Raw genomic sequence first — 25200 nt, 5'->3', positions numbered from 1 at the left:
CAGCCTCCCAAGTAGCCGAGACTACAGGCACACGCCATCACCCCCTGCTAATTTTTGTATTTTTAGTAGAGACAGGGTTTCACCATGTTGGCCAGGCTGGTCTCGAACTCCTGACCTCAGGTGATTCACCCGCCTCAGCCTCCTAAAGCTGGGATTGTAGGCGTGAGCCACTGCGCCCAGCCCCTTACAGCCCTCTTCTGTTCTTGGGGAGGAAGATCTAGGTGTGTTTTTCCCTACTCCAAACTTTGCAAAATTAATGATTAAATGAAAGAGAAATTGGCTTCCCTGTGAAGTCAGAGCCCTGTTCTCATGTTTTTTCCCATAGTGAGATCACTAAATCTCTCTACTGACAGCCAGGGTGCAGACGAGCAGGTAGAAGTGTTGTCAGGGCCTGTTGGCAGGTCTGTGAGGTTGGCCCCCGCGTGGCTATGCTGCATGCCGGGAAGGGCTTCCTCAAAGAAAGGCAAGTGTGCTGAGACCTGCTGAAAAGGCAGCTAGGGCTTCACGCTGTAGAAACAAAAGTGCAAGGCCTGACGCAACCAATGATTTGTCACTTTACCGAGGAGCCTATCAGAAATCGGCTGACATCATCACAGCTAAAATACTCCACCAGCTGTGTTTGCCACAAGTGACAGGTTCAGAGTCAGTGGAGACTCAGACAGAGAGCATGAGAGGGGGAGATGGGAGGGAGAGAGAGAACTCATATCTGGACTTAATTGAGGTTCCAAAGGCTACATCCTTCTCCCCTCTGCAGTGCCTTCCTGAGGGGTTTTCTCCCCTAGCCTGAAGAATCTTCCTGGTCTTCTCAACTGGTTAGGCACTGCTGACACTGCACCCACAGAGAAATTCAGAAATGTGCAAATTGTTGAGCTTAATAAGCAAAATCACAAATTTGATTGGGGAAGTTGTGGAAGAAGAGATGGTTTTCTCCAAAACAGATGGCATTGTGACTCTAGGCAGAAATCCTGCATGAACAGACTCTTGAGGATGCCTGAACTCATAAGACCCCCCCAACATCACACCCCCAGGGAAAGCAGTGTGATATAGTATGGTGGTGACAGACCCAGGGGTGCGGATTTGGGTCTCTGGCAGGACAAGTTACTTCACCTCTCTGAGCTGCAGCACTCTCCTCTCTAAACCAGGCAAATGAGTTTTGTTTTTCTGTGGGTTTTTGTGTTCGTTTGTTTGCTTGTTTTGAGACAGGGTCTTGCCCTGTCACCCAGGCTGAAGTGCAGTGATGGGATCATTGGCTCACTGCAGCCTCAACCTCCTGGACTCAATTGATCCTCCCACCTCAGCCTCCCCAGTAGCTGGGACTATGGGTGTGTACCACTACACCCAGCTAATTTTCTGTGTTTTTTTGTAGAGACAGGGTTTTGCTATCTTGCCCGTGCTGGTCTGGAACTCCTGGGCTCAAGCGATCCACCCACCTCGGTCTCCCAAAATGCTGGGATTATAGGCGTGAGCCACGGCGCCCGGCCACGTATGATTCTTCATAGGAGATAATCTCTTGAGAGGGTTCCGTTTTTTAATGCTTCACTTTTATACTTTCCAGAACAGCACAGCCCTTGTAAAAATTTATTAGCGTCGGTTAACAAAAAACCAAGAAGAGCATTAAGATGAACATGTACTGACCTCATGCTAAGCGGCACACAGACCTCATGGGAACTAAAGCCATGGCATATAAAACTGAGGGGTGTTTAGTTTGGGGATGATTTTTAAGGGGCTGAATTCCTCATTAAGACTGTGGAAAGATGCCCCCAGCATTGTCCCAGCTGACGCTCCAGACGAGGCAATGTAGGAGAAAAATGCTTTTCCGTGTTTGTCACTATCCCTGTGGCATTGCCCTGCCCAGTACAGCTTTTCTCCACTCGAGCAAAGCGTCTATGCATCCCCCAGGCCCCCACCTAGGTGCTGTGGGAGGAAAGGGGAATGCCAGGTGTTGTCCATTGTTACTGCGTGCACCAAAGGAAGCCTCCTTCCTCTTCAGTGGAGGGTGATAGCACGTTCCCCACCCTGGAAGAGAGTTGCTGCTTTGCCATGCCTTGATTCTGGTTGAGAGTCCCAAAGGATGACAGAATCACTTCCCTTGGGCCTCACTGCCAAATATAATCCACTTAATATCCTCCAAGTTTGAGGCCATAAGTCTGTGGCGCATCCAGATGCGACCCCCGAGGCGATAGCATCAACGTGGGAGCCAATGCAACTCAAAAGAAGGATGGGGCTTCGCACCTCCTCCTTGGGTAGGAAGTAGGTTAGCTGCTTGGAAAATGCAGGAACTGGCACTGAAGAGATCTGAGTCTGAACATATCCCTCACCCGTCAGTAGCACTGGGACCTTGTGCAATGTTAGTTTTCCCTTCCCTGCTTCAACTTAGATGGCTCGGGCCCTGAGAAAGTGATTCACAGCTGAAAAATAAATCAAAGGCCTCGTGTTCTAAAAAGAGTTTATGGAAGGAGAGGCAGCTGATGAAAGTCTAGAAAGAAGGCTGAACTTTTCCAATGAGCACAATAAGCCATTTTTACCCTGCCTGTAATCCTCGGGGTGGAATCCCGCGAGTGGCCGAGGCGAGCACCCTTCCCGCCGTTCCTGTTTCTAAGGCTAAATGATGTCATGCCAGCCTGCGTGAGCATATCAATCTGTATTTCTGAGTATGAACTGGATTTGAGGGGTGCATTGGTGCTCCAGCCCTCCAGATCAGTAAGACAACCAATGCAGAAACAAGGGCTCCCAGGCTCCTCTTCTGCAAGAGGCTGTTAGTGACGTGCCCGCTGGGACAGCCCTGCCCAGGATGGCCCCAGCTGGGGAGCCTTTGGCTTCCATCTGGCGGCGTTCTATATTATCCCATCCTTCTGTCTCACCCTTCCTAGGTTCAGCTTCTCTGAAGAGTACACAGCATTTGCTCAGTGGAGTTGTAAAATGTATTGGTAAAGTGCTCTGGGTTGACACGTTCCTTTGCTTCTTTCCTAAATGCCAGGCTCTGTGTTATTAGGGCCGTCTGTCGCTTCCCAGCGCCTCCCGAGGTGACTGCTTCCCTGACTCGGTGGCTGCTTAATATTCAGTGCCATTTCCTCCTCCCGACTGTCCTGGCGTGGGTGTGAGTGTGCCTGTGTGTGTGCTCGTACAGCAGTTGTTATCATGATGTACTTACTGGCTGTCTACCGATGGCTTTCCTTTCATTCTACTATTTTTTGGTTGACTTCTGTGAGCTGTGAGTCATCGGTGGTAACATTATGCATTGAATGGATTAGCTGGTACCTAAAAATAGCCGAGGCCCTCATGCAGGCGGCACATGAGCCTGTAGAGTCAGTCCCTTTGCAGCCAAGGCAGACCCACTTGCCAACATTGAACATGCCGAGCTTGGTGGCGATGAATCCTAATGTATCAAAAAATAGATAGTTGGTGACTGCCCTGTGTGCAGAGCCCAGCCCTGGATTTGTGCCGCAGTTGTTGGTAATACACACTTCCTGTCTGTTCTGGTGCTGGAAAGGCTCCAACAGAGAAACTATGTCAAACCACATTTTTGTTTGTGGGTCTTTGTACCTCTCTAAAAAAAAAAAAAAAGGAGAAAAATGCTCTCCTTTAAACTGTATGTGCTATATGTGCCCCCAACTGGGTCATCTTATATGTTTTGATTCTCTCAGACTGTTGTTGTTTATAGCATTTAGAAAAAAATTAAAGACTATTGTTTAAAGCAGTTTTAGGTGTACAGCAAGTAGAGAGAGGTCTCACACACCTAACAGTTTTCCCTGTTATTAAAATCTTGCATTGGTGTGATAGATTGGTTACAACTGATGAGCCAGTACCGATACCTTATTTTTAACTAAAGTCCATAGTTTATACTACAGTTCACTCTGTGTTGTACATGCTGTTTTTGATGAATTTATGATGTCATGTATCCAGCATTACATTATTATACAGAACAGCTGTACCACCCTAAAAATCCCTTATGCATCAACTATTTGTCCCCCACACCCCACCTGAAACTCCTGGCACCCACTGATCATTTTACTCTCTCCATAGTTTTGCCTGTTCCAGAATGCCATGCAGTTGGAATCATCCGGTATGTCGCCTTTTCACATTGGCGTCTCTCACTTAGCGATATGCATTTCAGGTTCTTCCATGTCTTCTTGTTGCTCTGATAGCTCATTTCTTTTTAGCACTGAATATTATGTTGTTCTTTAAGGCACATTTTTTTTTTTTGAGATAGGGTCTTGCTCTGTTGCCCAGGCTGGAGTGCAGTGACACCATAATAGCTCACTGCAGCTTTGACCTCCTAGGCTCAAGCAATCCTCCCACTTCAGCCTCCCTAGGAACAGGGACCACAAGTACACACCACCACGCCCAGCTAATTTTTCTATTTTTTTGTAGAGACGGGGTCTTGCCATGTTGCCCAGGCTGCTCTTGAACTCCTGAGCTCATGTGATCCTCCCGCCTCAGGCCCCCAAAGTGCTGGGATTACAGGGATGAGCCACCCTTCCCTGCCTAAGGCACACATTTTAAGGCCCCAGAAAAGGAAGGCAAGTGAGCTAGAACCTGTGTGCCTAAGGGCTTCCGTGTCACAGCTGCTGTGGTCACTCACTGGGCAGTGTCCTTCCTGGCCATCCCTGAGCCTCCCCACAGGGCCTTCCCACAAGGGAGCTCTGTGAGCCACGCTACCATGTGTAAGAAAAACCCAGCTTTTAATGTGGGATTTGTGTTAGGAGGCGTCCCGGTGCTAGGGTGTGGGTTTACTGAACAACCCTGAAACACTTCCACCAAGGACTGAGTCAGGCTTTGCGTGAACATGATTCAGTGTTTTAAATAGAACACTCACAGAGATTCTTACACTCAGCCAAAGCGTTTTGACTGTTTTTATTAATGATTTTTAAACATTGCAGTAAATGGGTCTCTCGCTTACCCCCTTCATCTTTGAGACGGGGTTTTCTGATTTTTTTCATGCTGAGAACGTAACCATGCAGACTTAGCCTTCCAGGAAAGCAGACCGGCCTTTCTCTACAGGTAAAACAAGACTGAGAATTTCACTTGCAGACAAAGTTAAGAATGCCCAATTTAATAATTTCGCCAAAAAACAAGACATACTTACTGAAACCTAGCTTATGAGAGAATTCATTGCTCCCAGCAACAGGCGAAATTTGTATGTCTGGGATAGTGTCATGAAAAAATGTTTTGTAAAACAGATGCCCTTCGCAATTTGTGAAAACAGGGACTCTTGTGAAGGAAATGGGAGACATATTTAAACAACAGACGTTTTGTTTTCTTTCTATCTTGTTTTTGGTGATATGTACATATGTGTGTATATAGACATAGCACCAATCTAAGATTGAAATATACAATCAAACAGCATAAATATGCGTGTATGTGCATAGTGTTTAGATATAGTAGTTATTGACTAAGTGGTGAAAGGAATTTTATTGAATTTTCATACAGAGGAGCTAAAATTTTTCTTAAAAGCCAGTCATTAGTCAGATTAGGAAGGTGACATTTAAAAAATAATTATGAGCCCAGAAGTGAGTCGGTGTTGTCTCCCTGTCTAGGTTCGTCCATCCAAAATGGGAGTTGGAGGTGACAGTTCTAGAGGAGTCGATTTAGGGGGATGGATGGAGGAAGGGGTAGGCAGATCTCTTATAACCACACTGATGAGCACATGGGCTTGCTGGCAGCAGTGGGAGGAGGGAGGGAAAGAGTGGAGGAGGGTGGGAGGCGGTCCACCCCCAAAAGCAAGAGGTGCTGGCGACAGGGCATCCAGAGATGAAAGACAGAGGGCCCTCAAGCTTACAAAAGTATAAAGGCCATCCCTGGGCGCGGTGGCTCACACCTGTAATCCCAGCACTTTGGGAGGCCGAGGTGGGTGGATCATCTGAGGTCAAGAGTTCAAGACCAGCCTGACTAACATGGTGAAAACCCGTCTCTACTAAATACAAAAAAATTAGCCTGGTGTGGTGGCAGGCGCCTATAATCCCAGCTACTTGGGAGGCTGAGGCAGGAGAATTGCTTGAACCTGGGAGGCAGAGGTTACCGTGAATCAAGATGGCACCACTACACTCTAGCCTTGGCGACAGAGTGAGACTCTGTCTCAAAAAAAAAGAAAGAAAGAAAGAAAGAAAAGTTATAAAGGCTATTCTACTTACTGCTTAGGGTGTTTGAAACAGGATATATTTACTGGATGAAAAAATGGGCTATATTGAGCTGTCTGGCGTTATGTAACGTGCTTTGGTTATCTGTGGTACTGCTCCCATGAGTTTATTTTCATTGGGATTTAATCAGAAACCATTCTGGAAAATGTGTGGAACCCCAGCAAGATCATAAAATGACTTAATGATTACTAACACAGCTGCAAGAACGAGAGTGGAGAGAAAATAACTGAAGTGTGATTCAATAAAATCATGACGACCTCAGCATCTGACAAGGTGAGGTGGCTATGGCTCCGCTGAGAAAGCTGCCTGTTAGGCGGTAAAGCCACACCCTGGAGAAAGCACTGCTCCTCTCCCTGGGGGAGGTCACAGCCCACTTTAGTTCTGGCTGGTTAAAAAAAAAAAAAAAAAAAAAAAAAAAGACAGGCAGTCTCTCTATTGCCCCCTGTTGTCCACTTGTACCATTGCAATGTTTTTCCATACAGAAGGCAAACAGAACTATTCTTTCAGTTTTTTTTTTGTTTTGTTTTTGTTTTTTTTAAGACGGAGTCTTGCACTGTCACCTGGGCTGGGGTGCAATGGCGTGATCTTGGCTCACTGCAACCTCCGCCTCCCAGGTTCAAGCAATTCTCCTGCTTCAGCCTTCAGAGTAGCTGAGATTACAGGCACCTGCTCCCACGCCTGGCTAATTTTTTTGTATTTTTAGTAGAGACAGGGTTTCACCATGTTGGTCAGGCTGGTCTTGAACTCCTGACCTCATGATCAGCCCGCCTCTGCCTCCCAAAGTGGTGGGATTACAGGTGTGAGCCACCATGCCCGGCCTCTTCTTTCAGATTTTAACTGAGCACCTATTACTTGCTAGGAAGTCTTTTAGACTCTGGAGATAGAACACTGAGTTTGGGGAAAGAGGCAAAACAGACAAATATACAAGTAAATAAAAAAGAATGCATAAGAAGATAACCAGTCCCTTTTGGCACCAGGGACTGGTTTCATGGAAGAAGATTTTTTGGCAGGATGGGAAGAGGGAGGGGGATGGTTTTGGGATGAAACTGTTCCACCTCAGATCATCAGGCATTAGTTAGATTCTCATAAGGAGTGCACAACCTGGATTCCTTGCATGCGCAGTTTACAATAGGGTTCACGCTCCTATGAGAATCTAATGCTTGCGACTGATCTGACAGGAGGCGGAGCTCAGTCTGGAATGGTTGCTCACCTCCAGCTGTGCAGCCCAGTACCTAACAGGCCATGGACTGCTACTGGTCTGTTGCCTGGGGGTTGGGGATCCCTGGTATAAAGAGGAGAAGGGGCCAGGCTAGGTGGCTCATGCTTGTAATCTCAGCACTTTGGGAGGCTGAGGCAAGAGGGCACTTGAGGCCAGGAGTTTTGAAACCAGCCAGGCCAACATAGCAAGGCTCCATCTCTACATAATGATCATCATTATCTTCACCAACAAAACATTAGCTGGACATGGTGGTGCATGCATGTGGTCCCAACTACTCAGGCGGCTGAGGCAGGAAGATATCTTGAGCCCACGAGGTCAAGGCTGCAGTGAGCCATGATCATGCTACTGTACTCCAGCCTGGGCAACAGAACAAGACCCTATCTCAAAATAAAAAAAGGAAGCTATGGAAACTAGAGGGTTGTTATTTTAAATAGAACTGTCAGGGGAGTTCTCTCTGAAAAGGACAGTGGGTGGCAACAGTACGTGAGGCAAAAAAGATTCCAAATGAATGGAGAGAGTAGCAGGTGCCCAGACGGAAGGCGCAAGAGGGGTTAAAGAACCAGCAAGGAGACCACTGTTGCTACAGTGTAGGGAGTAAGGGGCACATGCAGACCACATCAGGCTTGCATGTGGTGACCGAGCGAGTGAGATGCAGCTTGGCCAGGACAAAGGTGGTGGAGGTAGTAAAAAAATAGTATCATTCTAGGTGTATTTGGAAAAGGAACCCATACAGTTTGCTTATAATTGGGATGTTTGTGATGTAAGAGAAAGAGCGGAAGAAAGTATGATTCCAAGGTGCTTGATTGAACAGCCGGAAGAATGGGATACCATTTATGGAGATGGGGAAGAACATGGGATGGCCACCGGGCAGGGGCACATCGGGAGGTCTGGTGTGTTTTAGGTCACTTTAAGTTTGAGTTGCCCATTCGACATCTGAGTGGACGTCATCGGATAGTGTGGTCACTGGTGTCCAAATGTACCCGTTTTGCGTGTATGTTCTGTCTCCTGGTGGGAGGCAAGAAACTAGGTCTTAACCAATAGATACTCTTCTAAGGTTCCTAACACTTAGCAGGTGCTCGGTGTATACTTGTTGAACTTTTATTAAAACTGGAAAGCCTGAAATGTATCATTAGGAACCCTCAATAATATTTTGAGGCCGGGCACGGTGGCTCACACCTGTAATCCCAGCACTTTAGGAGGCCAAGGCAGGCAGATCACTTGAGGTCAGGAGTTCAAGACCAGCCTGGCCAACATGGTAAAACCCCGTCTCTACTAAACATACAAAAATTAGCCAGGTGTGGTGGCTTATGCCTCCCAGCTACTCGGGAGGCTGAGGCAGGAGAATCGCTTGAACCCAGGAGGTGGAGTTTGCAGTGAGCCGAGATAGTGCCACTACATTCCAGCCTGGGCAACAGAGCAAGACTCCATCTCAAAAAAAAAAATAATAATAATAACAATATTTTGAAGCTATCAGCATCATAGAGAATACCCATATGGGTTTTAAATTCAAGGAATTCACAGACTTATTGTTCCAGTTGAAGATGACATCATCCTACAAAATCACACCGTCTCTGTTTCACATCCAAACCAGTCCCCGCTGGCATTGACAGCATGTTTTGAGATGGAGAAGGCTCCTCTCCAAGGGAATTTCAAGCAACAGATTTGATGATATATATTCTCACTGAGAAACCCCTCAGTGAGATTTCTTCATTAACGGTTAATGATCAGTTAACCTTTAAGAATGTTTATATCCTTATGACAAACCTAATTATAAAATAAAGATAGATTTGCTATGAATGCTTGAGTGTACCTATTTGAGATGTGTGCAACAAGATTTTAACTTTCACCAAAGAAGGGAAAAAAACCTTATTTTACTTCTCATACATTCAGACCCCAAGGGGGAAAAAGTACATTGTCTAGGTAGTTCACACTAATTAGTGAGGAGAAAACTAGCATTGGGCTGGCAAGCTATCCGATCTGTGCCTACAATGATCAGATTATCTGAATAATCTTCCGCTCCCACCTCAGCTTTCATGGACCCAGCTGATATCTGGTCGTGGCATCTTTTCGCAGGGTGACACAGCTCCTTTGGTAGGAAGCAAAGGCAGAATTTAGGCAAAAAGAAACAAAGAGAAGCCTTTGAAGTGATTAAAGAAGAATCTCCCAAGCCTATCTAGGTTAACATAAATTTCATTAACAGGCCAGGTGGGCGCGGTGACTCACTTCTGTAATCCTAGCATTTTGGGAGGCTGTGGCGGGCAGATCGCCTGAGATCAGGAGTTCAAGACTAGCTTGGCCAACATGGTGAATGAAACCCCGTGTCTACTAAAAATATAAAAAATTAGCCAGGGGTGGTGGTGGGCACCTGTAATCCCTGCTACTTGGGAGGCTGAGGCAGGAGAATCGCTCGAATCCAGGAGGCAGAGATTGCAGTGAGCTGAGATGGTGCCACTGCACTCCAACCTGGGTGACAGAGCGAGACTCTGTCTCAAAAAAAAAAAAAAAATTCCATTAACGTCATCTTGTTTTAGTACGCATCTCAAATATTCTCTCTCTCCATCACTTTTCTCTCGTGAATTTTTCGGCAGGCTGTTCTAGCTATGGTTCACACCACAGCATTTAATTCTAAGGCCTGTCTTTGGAGATTTGGAGTTTGGTTTGGTTTGGTTTGGTTTTTAGAGACAGAGTCTTGCTCTGGCACACAGGCTGGAGTGGTGCAGTAGCTCGAGTGACCCTCGCACCTCTGTAACTGAACTTAGGTTTGGCTGCTCACCACTCAAAAGCCAAATACGAGAGATGAGGTTGGTGAGAGGAAAAGCAGGTTTATTGGGAAAGCCAGAGAAATTGAGAAGATGATGAGCTAGCCTTCTAAAGTACCATCTCCAGGCCAGGCATGGTAGCTCACATCTGTAATCCCAGCACTTTGGGATGCCAAGGCAGGCGGATCACCTAAGGTCAGGAGTTTGAGACCAGCCTGACCCACAATGGCCAAACACCATCTCTACTAAAAAATACAAAAATTAGCCAGGTGTGGTGGCACATGCCTGTAGTCCCAGCTACTCAGGAGGCTGAGACAGGAGAATAGCTTGAACCTAGGAAGCAGAGGTTGCAGTGAGCCGAGATTGTACCACTGCACTCCAGCCTGGGCAACAGAGAATCCATCTCAAGAAATAATAATTTTGTAAAAATTAAGTAAAATCTCCAATTTTTTAGGCTGGTTGGAGGGTTTTTATGGGAGGGGGGTATGGGGGGAGACGAAGGGGTTAGTATCGAGGAGACTGAGGACCATAGACATTTGGGCACCAGTGAGGGTTCAAGAAGGTTGAGAACTTCTTTGTCCTTGGTCAGGTCATAATGCTCCTTCAGTCTTTAGTATTTTTAATAGAGGGTTTCACCATATTGGCCAGACTGGTCTCTAACTCCTGACCTCAGGTGATCCGCCCGCCTCGGCCTCCCAAAGTGCTGGGATTACAGGCGTGAGCCACCGTGCCCAGCCACTCCTATCAGTCTTTAACAATATATAGTTAGTTGTTTATATACTTCCCCTTTAATCCCAGAGTTAGTTTCTAAAAGTACATGATTGTTGTTTGTGTATATTATCTCGGTGCCATAAAATTATCCTAGCCTACGTGCAGGAAAGGGTAAAACCCTTTAAACAAAAATGGAGTTAGTTATGTTCGTTCTTTTGCTATTTCACAATTGTACCTCAGCCTCCCAAAGTGCTGGGATTACAAGAGTGGTGTCTTTGGAGTTTTGAGATGCGGAAATAATGAAAGGCTTTCAAAATGTCCAATAACATTATGAAGTCTTTAGAGGGAAACACGTGTATCTGTATCCTGACTTTTGCACTAATCAATTATAGTACCTGTTATAAAGGGCTTGTAGACATTTCTTAATGAGTCTACAGATACTTGGTAACGTGGAAATCCTCAGATAAGTTTACCTATGAGAACACAGTAGATGTTATTTTCAGAAAATTAAATATTGCCTGCCCTGTGAAGTGTGTATAATGTGGCTCACACACCAAGGGCCTCTCCATGGGTAGGTGTCCGGCCATCTGCCAGCAAGGAGACAGGGAGTTATCCGGGAACACGCAGAACCAGAAAAGAGGCTGACATGTTTGGAACTAAGGCTTCTGGTCTTCTGAATGTCACATTACCTCTGCCTGGTGTTGGGCAAGAATAAGCAAACCGCAACTCTGGTAGAGAGTCTTACGAGACAGATGTTAACACCTGAGAGTTTTATTTTTATGACTTGGATTTGCAGCAAAACAATCTCCACTTGATGTGGGATTGGTTTCCTTCTGTTCAGTTTATGTTGTTAATGACTCTAAGAGGTTTGCAAGAGGATCTATGGAGCCAGTTCCAGATTGGTCCTCCTACTTAGAATACAGTGGGTATCCCCATCTGATACAGTCACTTGTAAGTATATTTGTCTATGTATATATGCACATATATGTTTCTGTGTGTGATGTAAATGTAGTTTTGAAACCAAATAGTGTCACACACTTGTACAGGGTAACTAGAATTGTATGAGTGGCTATAAGGCAAACACTGCATCACAATTATCTGTACCATGGAACAAGCCCATGAGCTCATGCCTTTGGATCCTACTTATTTCAGTCAATATTCACCACTGTTGGGGGGTAGCAGGAATGCTTAGTTCATCTCTTTTGGTGGCATTGTAATGTCTTTGCTCACAAGGGTAGAGGTCAGGAGGCACAGAAAAAAGAAAATGGGTTTGGGGGCCAATGACTGGGATAAAATCCTAAACCCATTAGCTAATAGCTATGACATTAGGCAAGTGACTTAATCTCTCTGTGACTATTCGTAAAATTTACAAAATTGGAAGAGCAATACTATTCCATACTAATACTATTATGAACATTAAACAAAATACTTTTTGTAAAGTTTGTACCTGAGAGCTTGACAGAGAGTAGGCACTCAAAAACTTTTAGCTTGCTTCACATTATAAAAATAGCCCAGAACAATGAAACTTTCCCCCAGTAATACACACAGGAGAAGGGGTTCATGCTTACAAGCTGCCATATGAATGTACTCAAGTTGTCTCTTCTAAAAATATGCCTTGTATGGATCCAGTAAAGTCTGTCATTCTAGAAATGTATCAGAACTAGATCAATCAGAGTTAACAAAGGAAACAAAGAAGATGAAGTAGAAAAGCAACAATCTGTGGAAATCTACTACTTTTAAAGTTTTTTTGGTACTTCAATTATGCATGTGTGTTTTTGTGTGTCTGAATGTGTATAAAATCCAATGGAGGCCTGACACGGTGGCTCACGCCTGTAATCCCAGCACTTTGGGAGACTGAGGCGGGTGGATCATGAGGTCAGGATATCGAGACCATCCTGGCCAACATGGTGAAGCCCCCACTCTACTAAAAATACAAAAAGTAGCTGGGCGTGGTGGTGGTGGTGCATACCTGTAGTCCCAGCTACTTGGGAGTCTGAGGCAGGAGACTCGCTTGAACCCGGGAGGCGGAGATTGCAGTGAGCCGAGATCGCGCCACTGCACTCCAGCCTGGGCGACAGAGCAAGACTCCCTCTCACAAAAAGAAAAAAAGAATCCAACAATATTTTAAATATTGTTACATATAGCCAATATTCATTCAGATTCACCATGTATCTACCATTTTCATTCCTCTTCATTCCTCCCTGTACAAACTTCAATCTAGATTTGTTTTTTCTCTACCTAAAGAATACCTTTTAGTATTTTCTATAATGCAGATCTGTTGATGGTGAATTCTTTTAATTACTGTTTGTCTGAACATGTCTCTATTTTGCCTTCATTCTGGAAGGATCTTTTTGCTCCATATAGAATTCGCCATTGACAATTCTTTTTCTTTAGCACTGTAAAGATATTCCATTGTCTCCATTGTCTACTGGCTTCCATTATTTTTGTTGAGATGTAAACTGTGAGTTCCATTGTTGCTTATTTGGAGATAATATGTATTTTGTTCTAGAGGCTTTTTTTTTTTAATGGAGTTTCTCTATTGTCGCCCAGTCTAGAGTGTGATGGAATGATCTTGGCTCACTGCAACGATCTTGGCTCACTGCAACGATCTTGGCTCACTGCAACCTCCGCCTCCCGGGTTCAAGTGATTCTCCTGCCTCAGCCCCCCGAGTAGCTGGGATTACAGGTTCCTGCCACCATGCCCAGCTAATTTTTGCATTTTTAGTAGAGATGGGGTTTCACCATGTTGGCCAGACTGGTCTCAAACTCCTGACCTCAGGTAATCCACCCACCTCGGCCTCCCAAAGTGCTGGGATTACAGGCAGGAGCCACCACACCCAGCCTGTTCTAGAGGCTTTTAACGATATTTTTTCCTGTTTAGTTTACAAGATGTCTTTGATTTATAGCAGTTTAATTCTCATCTGCCTCAGTGAGGATTTCTTTTTGTTTATTTTTCCTGTTTGGGGCTAGGCCTTCTTGAAACTGTCTTATTATCCTTCTTCAGTTTGGGAAAATTCTTAGCCATTACCTCCTCAAGTATTAACTTCTGCCCTATTATCTCCCTCTCTTCCTCCTCCTAGGATTCAAATTATGTGTCTGTTAGCCCCTCTCAATGTATCCTATGTGTCTCTTACCCTCTCCTCCATATTGACCATCTTTTTGTCTCTATGTTCACTCTGTGGAGTCTCTTCTAAAGCTCTAATTAGAGAATCCAGTTCCTGAATTCTTTCTTAATCCATGTCTATTCAACTGGAAAGCTCATTGCATTCTTGATTTCAGTGGTGTATATTTTAATTCTACAATTCTCATAGACCTTTTTTAATTAATTAATTATTATTATTATTATTATTTATTTTTTTTTTTTTTAGAGACAGAGTCTCACTCTGTTGTCCAGGCTGGAGTGCAGTCTTGTGATCATAGCTCACTGCAACCTCTAACTCCTGGGCTCAAGATCCTCCTGCCTCAGCCTCCTGAGTAGTTGGGACTACAGGCACGCATCACCACACTAGGCTATTTTTTTTTAAATTTCTGTAGAAACGGGGTCTCATTTTGTTGCCCAGACTGGTCTGAAACTCCTGGCCTCAAGTGATCCTCCCTGTCTCAGCCTCCCAAAGTACTGAGATTACAGGCATGAGCCACCATGCCTGGCTTCATGGATCTTTTAAAAACAGATTCTAGTTTCCTATCAAAATTCTCAAGCTGTCTTTAATCTTCTTAATTATTGTAAGCATAGTCTTTGTAAAGTCTATATGTATGACTCTATATGAGAAGCCCTGGTGCATCCTTTTTTAAGATCTGATATTTTGCTAGTGCTTATACAAGCTATCTGGTCTCCTCATGACCACCACCCCCCTTTTTTAAATTGAATGCTTTTATTTGCAAAATTGTGAAAGTAATTCAAGACCTTAATCCAGTTTTAGGGACTCAGATGAGTCAATCTGAGCTTCAGACCTTGAAAGGCCTGTTGGCTTGTGGTTCACTGTCTCCTCTAAGGGACAGTGCTTTGGGGTCACAACTCAAAAGAATGGGGCTCACCAGAGAACACCCTCCCTTGGTGTATCCTGAACTCCATTACCTGTTCCCTATGCTCTTAACACTATCAAAAGCCCACTTGGTTTCCCAACTGCTCCACTTTGGAATGTTCAAGTGCCTTCAGGAGAAAACAGGCCCCCAACACCAGCTTCACCTCTCTGGGCCATCATCTTTTCCTGATCCAACCCAGGAAGTGTGTGTGTGTGTGTGTGTGTGTGTGTGTGTGTGTGTGTGTGTGTGACGGAGTTTCACTCTGTCGCCCAGGCTGGAGTGAAGTGGCATGATCTCGGTTCACTGCAGCCTCCGCCTCCCGGGTTCAAGCGATTCTCTTGCCTCAGCCTCCTGAGTAGCTGGGATTATAGGCGCCTGCCACCACACCTGGCTAATTTTTGTATTTTTAGTAGGGACAGGGTTTCACCATGCTGGCCAGGCTGGTCTCAGAGTAAAGTGGCACGATCTTGGCTCACTGCAACCTTCGTCCCCCGGACTCAAACGATTCTCCTGCCTCAGCCTCCTGAGTAGCTGGGATTATAGGGGCCCACCACCACACCTGGCTAAGTTTTGTATTTTTAGTAGAGATGGGGTTTTGCCATGGTAGCCAGGCTGGTCTCAAACTCCTGACCTCAGGTGATCCACGCGCCTTGGCCTCCCAAAGTGCTGGGATTACAGGCATGAGCCACCGCGCCTGGCCTTTTTACTATCTTATTTGCTGTCCAGTACTATAAGAAAAAAAGTTTAAACATTTTGTCCAGAGTTTTTAAATTTATTTGTTTGCTTATATTTTTGTTCAGAGTTTTTAGTTGTCCTCAGAAGGAGGGTTGGTCCAAATTACCTAGTCTACTACATCTAGAAAGGACATTGGAAATTGACTTTTTTTTTTTTTTTTTGAGACGGAGTCTCACTCTGTGGCCCAGGCTGGATCGCCCAGTGGCACGATCTCGGCTCGCTGCAACATCTGCCTCCTGGGTTCAAGTGATTCTAGTGTTTCAGCCTCCCAAGTAGCTGGGATTACAGGTGCCCGCCACCACGCATGGCTAATTTTTTTTTTTTATTTTTAGTGGAGACGGGGTTTCCCCATGTTGGCCAGGCTGGTCTTGAACTCCTGACCTCAAATGATCCACCCACCTTGGTGTCCCAAAGTGCTGGGATTACAGGCATGAGCCACTGTGCCCAGCCACCAAGCATCCTTTTAGGGGCTGGGGACTCAGTGATAAACACACTGTGCCTGCTTCTTGGAACTCACAGTCTCACTCTGATCCATGTTTAGTCCTGTCCTGTATGATAATAGCAGTTGTCCATTGAGCTCATAAAATCTAAGACCGCGCTGGGCTTGTGAGCCACCTGCAGAGCCTAGCTTGGTGCTGAAAGCTAAGTGGGTGCTCTGTCATTACTGGGGTTCGATTGACTGGTTCTAACAGAGACCAGCTATAGAGCTAACACTTGATGGAATATTTTGAATATTGATGACCTTTTCACTGGCTTCTGCCTATGGCAAGTAGAGGTACAACCCAAAGAGAAGAGCCTCATTTATAGTGTGTGGCTGGGGGAGAGGGAGGTTTGCAAACTGAGTCATTTTCCCCCATTCAGCCTGTGTGTGTCTGTGTGAGTTCATACCTGTGTGTGTGCATAAAATCAAACAAGAATAAAATGTTTTCATTTGTTCCCTTCCTTCTTCCTCTCTCTGTCTCTCCCTGTTTCCACAGGTCAGCGTTGAAGTTTTGGTAGAGTATCCTTTTTTTGTGTTTGGACAGGGCTGGTCATCCTGCTGTCCGGAGAGAACCAGCCAGCTCTTTGATTTGCCGTGTTCCAAACTCTCAGTTGGGGATGTCTGCATCTCGCTTACCCTCAAGAACCTGAAGAACGGCTCTGTTAAAAAGGGCCAGCCCGTGGATCCCGCCAGCGTCCTGCTGAAGCACTCAAAGGCCGACGGCCTGGCGGGCAGCAGACACAGGTATGCCGAGCAGGAAAACGGAATCAACCAGGGGAGTGCCCAGATGCTCTCTGAGAATGGCGAACTGAAGTTTCCAGAGAAAATGGGATTGCCTGCAGCGCCCTTCCTCACCAAAATAGAACCCAGCAAGCCCGCGGCAACGAGGAAGAGGAGGTGGTCGGCGCCAGAGAGCCGCAAACTGGAGAAGTCAGAAGACGAACCACCTTTGACTCTTCCTAAGCCTTCTCTAATTCCTCAGGAGGTTAAGATTTGCATTGAAGGCCGGTCTAATGTAGGCAAGTAGAGGCAGCGTGGGGGAAAGGAAACGTGGCTCTCCCTTATCATTTGTATCCAGATTACTGTACTGTAGGCTAAAATAACACAGTATTTACATGTTATCTTCTTAATTTTAGGTTTCTGTTCTAACCTTGTCATTAGAGTTACAGCAGGTGTGTCGCAGGAGACTGGTGCATATGCTTTTTCCACGAGTGTCTGTCAGTGAGCGGGCGGGAGGAAGGGCACAGCAGGAGCGGTCAGGGCTCCAGGCATCCCCGGGGAAGAAAGGAACGGGGCTTCACAGTGCCTGCCTTCTCTAGCGGCACAGAAGCAGCCGGGGGCGCTGACTCCCGCTAGTGTCAGGAGAAAAGTCCCGTGGGAAGGGTCCTGCAGGGGTGCAGGGTTGCACGCATGTGGGGGTGCACAGGCGCTGTGGCGGCGAGTGAGGGTCTCTTTTTCTCTGCCTCCCTCTGCCTCACTCTCTTGCTATCGGCATGGGCCGGGGGGGTTCAGAGCAGTGTCCTCCTGGGGTTCCCACGTGCAAAATCAACATCAGGAACCCAGCTTCAGGGCATCGCGGAGACGCGTCAGATGGCAGATTTGGAAAGTTAACCATTTAAAAGAACATTTTTCTCTCCAACATATTTTACAATAAAAGCAACTTTTAATTGTATAGATATATATTTCCCCCTATGGGGCCTGACTGCACTGATATATATTTTTTTTAAAGAGCAACTGCCACATGCGGGATTTCATTTCTGCTTTTTACTAGTGCAGCGATGTCACCAGGGTGTTGTGGTGGACAGGGAAGCCCCTGCTGTCATGGCCCCACATGGGGTAAGGGGGGTTGGGGGTGGGGGAGAGGGAGAGAGCGAACACCCACGCTGGTTTCTGTGCAGTGTTAGGAAAACCAATCAGGTTATTGCATTGACTTCACTCCCAAGAGGTAGATGCAAACTGCCCTTCAGTGAGAGCAACAGAAGCTCTTCACGTTGAGTTTGCGAAATCTTTTTGTCTTTGAACTCTAGTACTGTTTATAGTTCATGACTATGGACAACTCGGGTGCCACTTTTTTTTTTTTTCAGATTCCAGTGTGACATGAGGAATTAGATTTTGAAGATGAGCATATATTACTATCTTTAAGCATTTAAAAATACTGTTCACACTTTATTACCAAGCATCTTGGTCTCTCATTCAACAAGTACTGTATCTCACTTTAAACTCTTTGGGGAAAAAACAAAAACAAAAAAAACTAAGTTGCTTTCTTTTTTTCAACACTGTAACTACATTTCAGCTCTGCAGAATTGCTGAAGAGCAAGATATTGAAAGTTTCAATGTGGTTTAAAGGGATGAATGTGAATTATGAACTAGTATGTGACAATAAATGACCACCAAGTACTACCTGACGGGAGGCACTTTTCACTTTGATGTCTGAGAATCAGTTCAAGGCATATGCAGAGTTGGCAGAGAAACTGAGAGAAAAGGGATGGAGAAGAGAATACTCATTTTTGTCCAGTGTTTTTCTTTTTAAGATGAACTTTTAAAGAACCTTGCGATTTGCACATATTGAGTTTATAACTTGTGTGATATTCCTGCAGTTTTTATCCAATAACATTGTGGGAAAGGTTTGGGGGACTGAACGAGCATAAATAAATGTAGCAAAATTTCTTTCTAACCTGCCTAAACTCTAGGCCATTTTATAAGGTTATGTTCCTTTGAAAATTCATTTTGGTCTTTTTACCACATCTGTCACAAAAAGCCAGGTCTTAGCGGGCTCTTAGAAACTCTGAGAATTTTCTTCAGATTCATTGAGAGAGTTTTCCATAAAGACATTTATATATGTGAGCAAGATTTTTTTTAAACAATTACTTTATTATTGTTGTTATTAATGTTATTTTCAGAATGGCTTTTTTTTTTCTATTCAAAATCAAATCGAGATTTAATGTTTGGTACAAACCCAGAAAGGGTATTTCATAGTTTTTAAACCTTTCATTCCCAGAGATCCGAAATATCATTTGTGGGTTTTGAATGCATCTTTAAAGTGCTTTAAAAAAAAGTTTTATAAGTAGGGAGAAATTTTTAAATATTCTTACTTGGATGGCTGCAACTAAACTGAACAAATACCTGACTTTTCTTTTACCCCATTGAAAATAGTACTTTCTTCGTTTCACAAATTAAAAAAAAAATCTGGTATCAACCCACATTTTGGCTGTCTAGTATTCATTTACATTTAGGGTTCACCAGGACTAATGATTTTTATAAACCGTTTTCTGGGGTGTACCAAAAACATTTGAATAGGTTTAGAATAGCTAGAATAGTTCCTTGACTTTCCTCGAATTTCATTACCCTCTCAGCATGCTTGCAGAGAGCTGGGTGGGCTCATTCTTGCAGTCATACTGCTTATTTAGTGCTGTATTTTTTAAACGTTTCTGTTCAGAGAACTTGCTTAATCTTCCATATATTCTGCTCAGGGCACTTGCAATTATTAGGTTTTGTTTTTCTTTTTGTTTTTTAGCCTTTGATGGTAAGAGGAATACGGGCTGCCACATAGACTTTGTTCTCATTAATATCACTATTTACAACTCATGTGGACTCAGAAAAACACACACCACCTTTTGGCTTACTTCGAGTATTGAATTGACTGGATCCACTAAACCAACACTAAGATGGGAAAACACACATGGTTTGGAGCAATAGGAACATCATCATAATTTTTGTGGTTCTATTTCAGGTATAGGAATTATAAAATAATTGGTTCTTTCTAAACACTTGTCCCATTTCATTCTCTTGCTTTTTTAGCATGTGCAATACTTTCTGTGCCAATAGAGTCTGACCAGTGTGCTATATAGTTAAAGCTCATTCCCTTTTGGCTTTTTCCTTGTTTGGTTGATCTTCCCCATTCTGGCCAGAGCAGGGCTGGAGGGAAGGAGCCAGGAGGGAGAGAGCCTCCCACCTTTCCCCTGCTGCGGATGCTGAGTGCTGGGGCGGGGAGCCTTCAGGAGCCCCGTGCGTCTGCCGCCACGTTGCAGAAAGAGCCAGCCAAGGAGACCCGGGGGAGGAACCGCAGTGTCCCCTGTCACCACACGGAATAGTGAATGTGGAGTGTGGAGAGGAAGGAGGCAGATTCATTTCTAAGACGCACTCTGGAGCCATGTAGCCTGGAGTCAACCCATTTTCCACGGTCTTTTCTGCAAGTGGGCAGGCCCCTCCTCGGGGTCTGTGTCCTTGAGACTTGGAGCCCTGCCTCTGAGCCTGGACGGGAAGTGTGGCCTGTTGTGTGTGTGCGTTCTGAGCGTGTTGGCCAGTGGCTGTGGAGGGGACCACCTGCCACCCACGGTCACCACTCCCTTGTGGCAGCTTTCTCTTCAAATAGGAAGAACGCACAGAGGGCAGGAGCCTCCTGTTTGCAGACGTTGGCGGGCCCCGAGGCTCCCAGAGCAGCCTCTGTCACCGCTTCTGTGTAGCAAACATTAACGATGACAGGGGTAGAAATTCTTCGGTGCCGTTCAGCTTACAAGGATCAGCCATGTGCCTCTGTACTATGTCCACTTTGCAATATTTACCGACAGCCGTCTTTTGTTCTTTCTTTCCTGTTTTCCATTTTTAAACTAGTAACAGCAGGCCTTTTGCGTTTACAATGGAACACAATCACCAAGAAATTAGTCAGGGCGAAAAGAAAAAAATAATACTATTAATAAGAAACCAACAAACAAGAACCTCTCTTTCTAGGGATTTCTAAATATATAAAATGACTGTTCCTTAGAATGTTTAACTTAAGAATTATTTCAGTTTGTCTGGGCCACACTGGGGCAGAGGGGGGAGGGAGGGATACAGAGATGGATGCCACTTACCTCAGATCTTTTAAAGTGGAAATCCAAATTGAATTTTCATTTGGACTTTCAGGATAATTTTCTATGTTGGTCAACTTTTCGTTTTCCCTAACTCACCCAGTTTAGTTTGGGATGATTTGATTTCTGTTGTTGTTGATCCCATTTCTAACTTGGAATTGTGAGCCTCTATGTTTTCTGTTAGGTGAGTGTGTTGGGTTTTTTCCCCCCACCAGGAAGTGGCAGCATCCCTCCTTCTCCCCTAAAGGGACTCTGCGGAACCTTTCACACCTCTTTCTCAGGGACGGGGCAGGTGTGTGTGTGGTACACTGACGTGTCCAGAAGCAGCACTTTGACTGCTCTGGAGTAGGGTTGTACAATTTCAAGGAATGTTTGGATTTCCTGCATCTTGTGGATTACTCCTTAGATACCGCATAGATTGCAATATAATGCTGCATGTTCAAGATGAACAGTAGCTCCTAGTAATCATAAAATCCACTCTTTGCACAGTTTGATCTTTACTGAAATATGTTGCCAAAATTTATTTTTGTTGTTGTAGCTCTGGATTTTGTTTTGTTTTGTTTTTTAAGGAAACGATTGACAATACCCTTTAACATCTGTGACTACTAAGGAAACCTATTTCTTTCATAGAGAGAAAAATCTCCAATGCTTTTGAAGACACTAATACCGTGCTATTTCAGATATGGGTGAGGAAGCAGAGCTCTCGGTACCGAAGGCCGGGCTTCTTGAGCTGTGTTGGTTGTCATGGCTACTGTTTCATGAACCACAAGCAGCTCAACAGACTGGTCTGTTGCCTTCTGAAACCCTTTGCACTTCAATTTGCACCAGGTGAAAACAGGGCCAGCAGACTCCATGGCCCAATTCGGTTTCTTCGGTGGTGATGTGAAAGGAGAGAATTACACTTTTTTTTTTTTTAAGTGGCGTGGAGGCCTTTGCTTCCACATTTGTTTTTAACCCAGAATTTCTGAAATAGAGAATTTAAGAACACATCAAGTAATAAATATACAGAGAATATACTTTTTTATAAAGCACATGCATCTGCTATTGTGTTGGGTTGGTTTCCTCTCTTTTCCACGGACAGTGTTGTGTTTCTGGCATAGGGAAACTCCAAACAACTTGCACACCTCTACTCCGGAGCTGAGATTTCTTTTACATAGATGACCTCGCTTCAAATACGTTACCTTACTGATGATAGGATCTTTTCTTGTAGCACTATACCTTGTGGGAATTTTTTTTTAAATGTACACCTGATTTGAGAAGCTGAAGAAAACAAAATTTTGAAGCACTCACTTTGAGGAGTACAGGTAATGTTTTAAAAAATTGCACAAAAGAAAAATGAATGTCGAAATGATTCATTCAGTGTTTGAAAGATATGGCTCTGTTGAAACAATGAGTTTCATACTTTGTTTGTAAAAAAAAAAAAGCAGAGAAGGGTTGAAAGTTACATGTTTTTTTGTATATAGAAATTTGTCATGTCTAAATGATCAGATTTGTATGGTTATGGCCTGGAAGAATTACTACGTAAAAGGCTCTTAAACTATACCTATGCTTATTGTTATTTTTGTTACATATAGCCCTCGTCTGAGGGAGGGGAACTCGGTATTCTGCGATTTGAGAATACTGTTCATTCCTATGCTGAAAGTACTTCTCTGAGCTCCCTTCTTAGTCTAAACTCTTAAGCCATTGCAACTTCTTTTTCTTCAGAGATGATGTTTGACATTTTCAGCACTTCCTGTTCCTATAAACCCAAAGAATATAATCTTGAACACGAAGTGTTTGTAACAAGGGATCCAGGCTACCAATCAAACAGGACTCATTATGGGGACAAAAAAAAAAATTATTTCACCTTCTTTCCCCCCACACCTCATTTAAATGGGGGGAGTAAAAACATGATTTCAATGTAAATGCCTCATTTTATTTTAGTTTTATTTTGATTTTTATTTAATATAAAGAGGCCAGAATAAATACGGAGCATCTTCTCAGAATAGTATTCCTGTCCAAAAATCAAGCCGGACAGTGGAAACTGGACAGCTGTGGGGATATTAAGCACCCCCACTTACAATTCTTAAATTCAGAATCTCGTCCCCTCCCTTCTCGTTGAAGGCAACTGTTCTGGTAGCTAACTTTCTCCTGTGTAATGGCGGGAGGGAACACCGGCTTCAGTTTTTCATGTCCCCATGACTTGCATACAAATGGTTCAACTGTATTAAAATTAAGTGCATTTGGCCAATAGGTAGTATCTATACAATAACAACAATCTCTAAGAATTTCCATAACTTTTCTTATCTGAAAGGACTCAAGTCTTCCACTGCAGATACATTGGAGGCTTCACCCACGTTTTCTTTCCCTTTAGTTTGTTTGCTGTCTGGATGGCCAATGAGCCTGTCTCCTTTTCTGTGGCCAATCTGAAGGCCTTCGTTGGAAGTGTTGTTTACAGTAATCCTTACCAAGATAACATACTGTCCTCCAGAATACCAAGTATTAGGTGACACTAGCTCAAGCTGTTGTCTTCAGAGCAGTTACCAAGAAGCTCGGTGCACAGGTTTTCTCTGGTTCTTACAGGAACCACCTACTCTTTCAGTTTTCTGGCCCAGGAGTGGGGTAAATCCTTTAGTTAGTGCATTTGAACTTGATACCTGTGCATTCAGTTCTGTGAATACTGCCCTTTTTGGCGGGGTTTCCTCATCTCCCCAGCCTGAACTGCTCAACTCTAAACCCAAATTAGTGTCAGCCGAAAGGAGGTTTCAAGATAGTCCTGTCAGTATTTGTGGTGACCTTCAGATTAGACAGTCTTCATTTCCAGCCAGTGGAGTCCTGGCTCCAGAGCCATCTCTGAGACTCGTACTACTGGATGTTTTAATATCAGATCATTACCCACCATATGCCTCCCACAGGCCAAGGGAAAACAGACACCAGAACTTGGGTTGAGGGCACTACCAGACTGACATGGCCAGTACAGAGGAGAACTAGGGAAGGAATGATGTTTTGCACCTTATTGAAAAGAAAATTTTAAGTGCATACATAATAGTTAAGAGCTTTTATTGTGACAGGAGAACTTTTTTCCATATGCGTGCATACTCTCTGTAATTCCAGTGTAAAATATTGTACTTGCACTAGCTTTTTTAAACAAATATTAAAAAATGGAAGAATTCATATTCTATTTTCTAATCGTGGTGTGTCTATTTGTAGGATACACTCGAGTCTGTTTATTGAATTTTATGGTCCCTTTCTTTGATGGTGCTTGCAGGTTTTCTAGGTAGAAATTATTTCATTATTATAATAAAACAATGTTTGATTCAAAATTTGAACAAAATTGTTTTAAATAAATTGTCTGTATACCAGTACAAGTTTATTGTTTCAGTATACTCGTACTAATAAAATAACAGTGCCAATTGCAGATGTGTGTCTTTGCCTTCTGTTGGGTCCTCAAGGAAGAGGCCAGGAAAAGAGTGCTAATTCCTCCTCCTTATTGACCCCCGCTCACGAGTTCTCCCTGGGTAGGTCGGAGGTAGGGAGGTGTGACATGAGGCATTGCCTTCGCTGCTAATGTTTTGGGGGGAAGAGTACGTGTGAGATGAGGTTCTAAGATAAAAGGCACACAGCCACACCTGATGTCTTGGTTTCTTCAGTTCATGTTTATGCCTCCTAGCTGAACACTGCTGTTCACAAGAGGTATACTTGTCTTTAAACATGTGGTAGCTTCATGCGCTCGTGTGGCATAATCTATACACTCCTTACAGATTTGCTCTAAACTGGTTAGTGGTCTGTAAGTGGAAAATTTATTTTTACTTCCTGTAATTCAAGCTCATTAGAAATTCAGCGAGCAGACCGGGCACAGTGGCTCACGCCCATAATCCCAACAGTTGGGGAGGCCGAGGCACAAGGCCTGCTTGAGCCCAGGAGTTCGAGACCAGCCTAGTCAACATAGTAAGACCTCATCTCTACAAAAAATGAAATTAGCCGGGTGTGGTGGCACATACCTATGGTCCCAGCTACTTAGGGGACTGAGGTGGGAGGATCGCCTGGGGCCAGGAGGTCGAGGCTGCAGTGAGCCATAATCATACCGCTGCACTCCAGCCTGGGCGACAGAGCAAAACTCTGCCTCAAAAACAAAAAAAAAACCCAACTCCTCGAGCAGGTCTCTCAGCATGTGGAGGAACTCCCCGTTTACCTCAAGAGTACCACATTACAGCTTTGCACTGGGCCCAGTCTTGGAAAGATATGGCTTAGCAGTTGTGCCAGAAAAAGTAATTCCTCAAGAACCCATAGCTTCCAGGTGGAATCCCCT

At 44.4% G+C, this 25200-nt stretch overlaps 1 protein-coding gene across 3 annotated transcripts in view, besides 7 other annotated features; it reads left to right on the top strand.

The window, feature by feature from the left end:
* ATXN1 (ataxin 1) overlaps positions 1-24309 on the top strand; it is a 462349-nt gene extending 438040 nt beyond the window's left edge. For all 3 annotated transcript variants that reach the window (NM_001128164.2, NM_001357857.2, NM_000332.4), the window contains one exon: positions 16562-24309. In NM_001128164.2, the coding sequence (NP_001121636.1) occupies positions 16562-17092 (531 nt within the window). In that variant the 3' untranslated portion in view covers positions 17093-24309. The remainder of the gene's footprint in view (positions 1-16561) is intronic.
* Positions 681-740: an enhancer, noted in NCBI's record as "active region_24102". NCBI's record gives its function as "activates an Ori minimal core promoter by ATAC-STARR-seq in GM12878 lymphoblastoid cells {active_cell/tissue: GM12878}" and the evidence as "EXISTENCE:reporter gene assay evidence [ECO:0000049][PMID:35858748]".
* Positions 2218-3051: an enhancer, noted in NCBI's record as "H3K27ac-H3K4me1 hESC enhancer chr6:16320601-16321434 (GRCh37/hg19 assembly coordinates)". NCBI's record gives its function as "activates a minimal SCP1, AML or CMV promoter by ChIP-STARR-seq in primed H9 embryonic stem cells {active_cell/tissue: H9 hESC(primed)}" and the evidence as "EXISTENCE:reporter gene assay evidence [ECO:0000049][PMID:30033119]".
* Positions 2218-3083: a biological region, named in NCBI's record as "H3K27ac-H3K4me1 hESC enhancer GRCh37_chr6:16320601-16321434".
* Positions 2964-3083: an enhancer, noted in NCBI's record as "active region_24101". NCBI's record gives its function as "activates an Ori minimal core promoter by ATAC-STARR-seq in GM12878 lymphoblastoid cells {active_cell/tissue: GM12878}" and the evidence as "EXISTENCE:reporter gene assay evidence [ECO:0000049][PMID:35858748]".
* Positions 13293-13501: a silencer, noted in NCBI's record as "fragment chr6:16310151-16310359 (GRCh37/hg19 assembly coordinates)". NCBI's record gives its function as "represses an EF-1alpha promoter that drives an FKBP-Casp9 reporter gene in an ReSE screen in K562 erythroleukemia cells {active_cell/tissue: K562}" and the evidence as "EXISTENCE:reporter gene assay evidence [ECO:0000049][PMID:32094911]".
* Positions 17722-17841: an enhancer, noted in NCBI's record as "active region_24100". NCBI's record gives its function as "activates an Ori minimal core promoter by ATAC-STARR-seq in GM12878 lymphoblastoid cells {active_cell/tissue: GM12878}" and the evidence as "EXISTENCE:reporter gene assay evidence [ECO:0000049][PMID:35858748]".
* Positions 19750-20329: an enhancer, noted in NCBI's record as "H3K27ac-H3K4me1 hESC enhancer chr6:16303323-16303902 (GRCh37/hg19 assembly coordinates)". NCBI's record gives its function as "activates a minimal SCP1, AML or CMV promoter by ChIP-STARR-seq in primed H9 embryonic stem cells {active_cell/tissue: H9 hESC(primed)}" and the evidence as "EXISTENCE:reporter gene assay evidence [ECO:0000049][PMID:30033119]".

This window comes from Homo sapiens, chromosome 6 (assembly GCF_000001405.40).
Source record: "Homo sapiens chromosome 6, GRCh38.p14 Primary Assembly".
Taxonomy (NCBI): domain Eukaryota; kingdom Metazoa; phylum Chordata; class Mammalia; order Primates; family Hominidae; genus Homo; species Homo sapiens.
The sequence above is the reverse complement of the archived record's forward strand: the minus strand, read 5'-3'. Positions and strand labels throughout refer to the sequence as shown.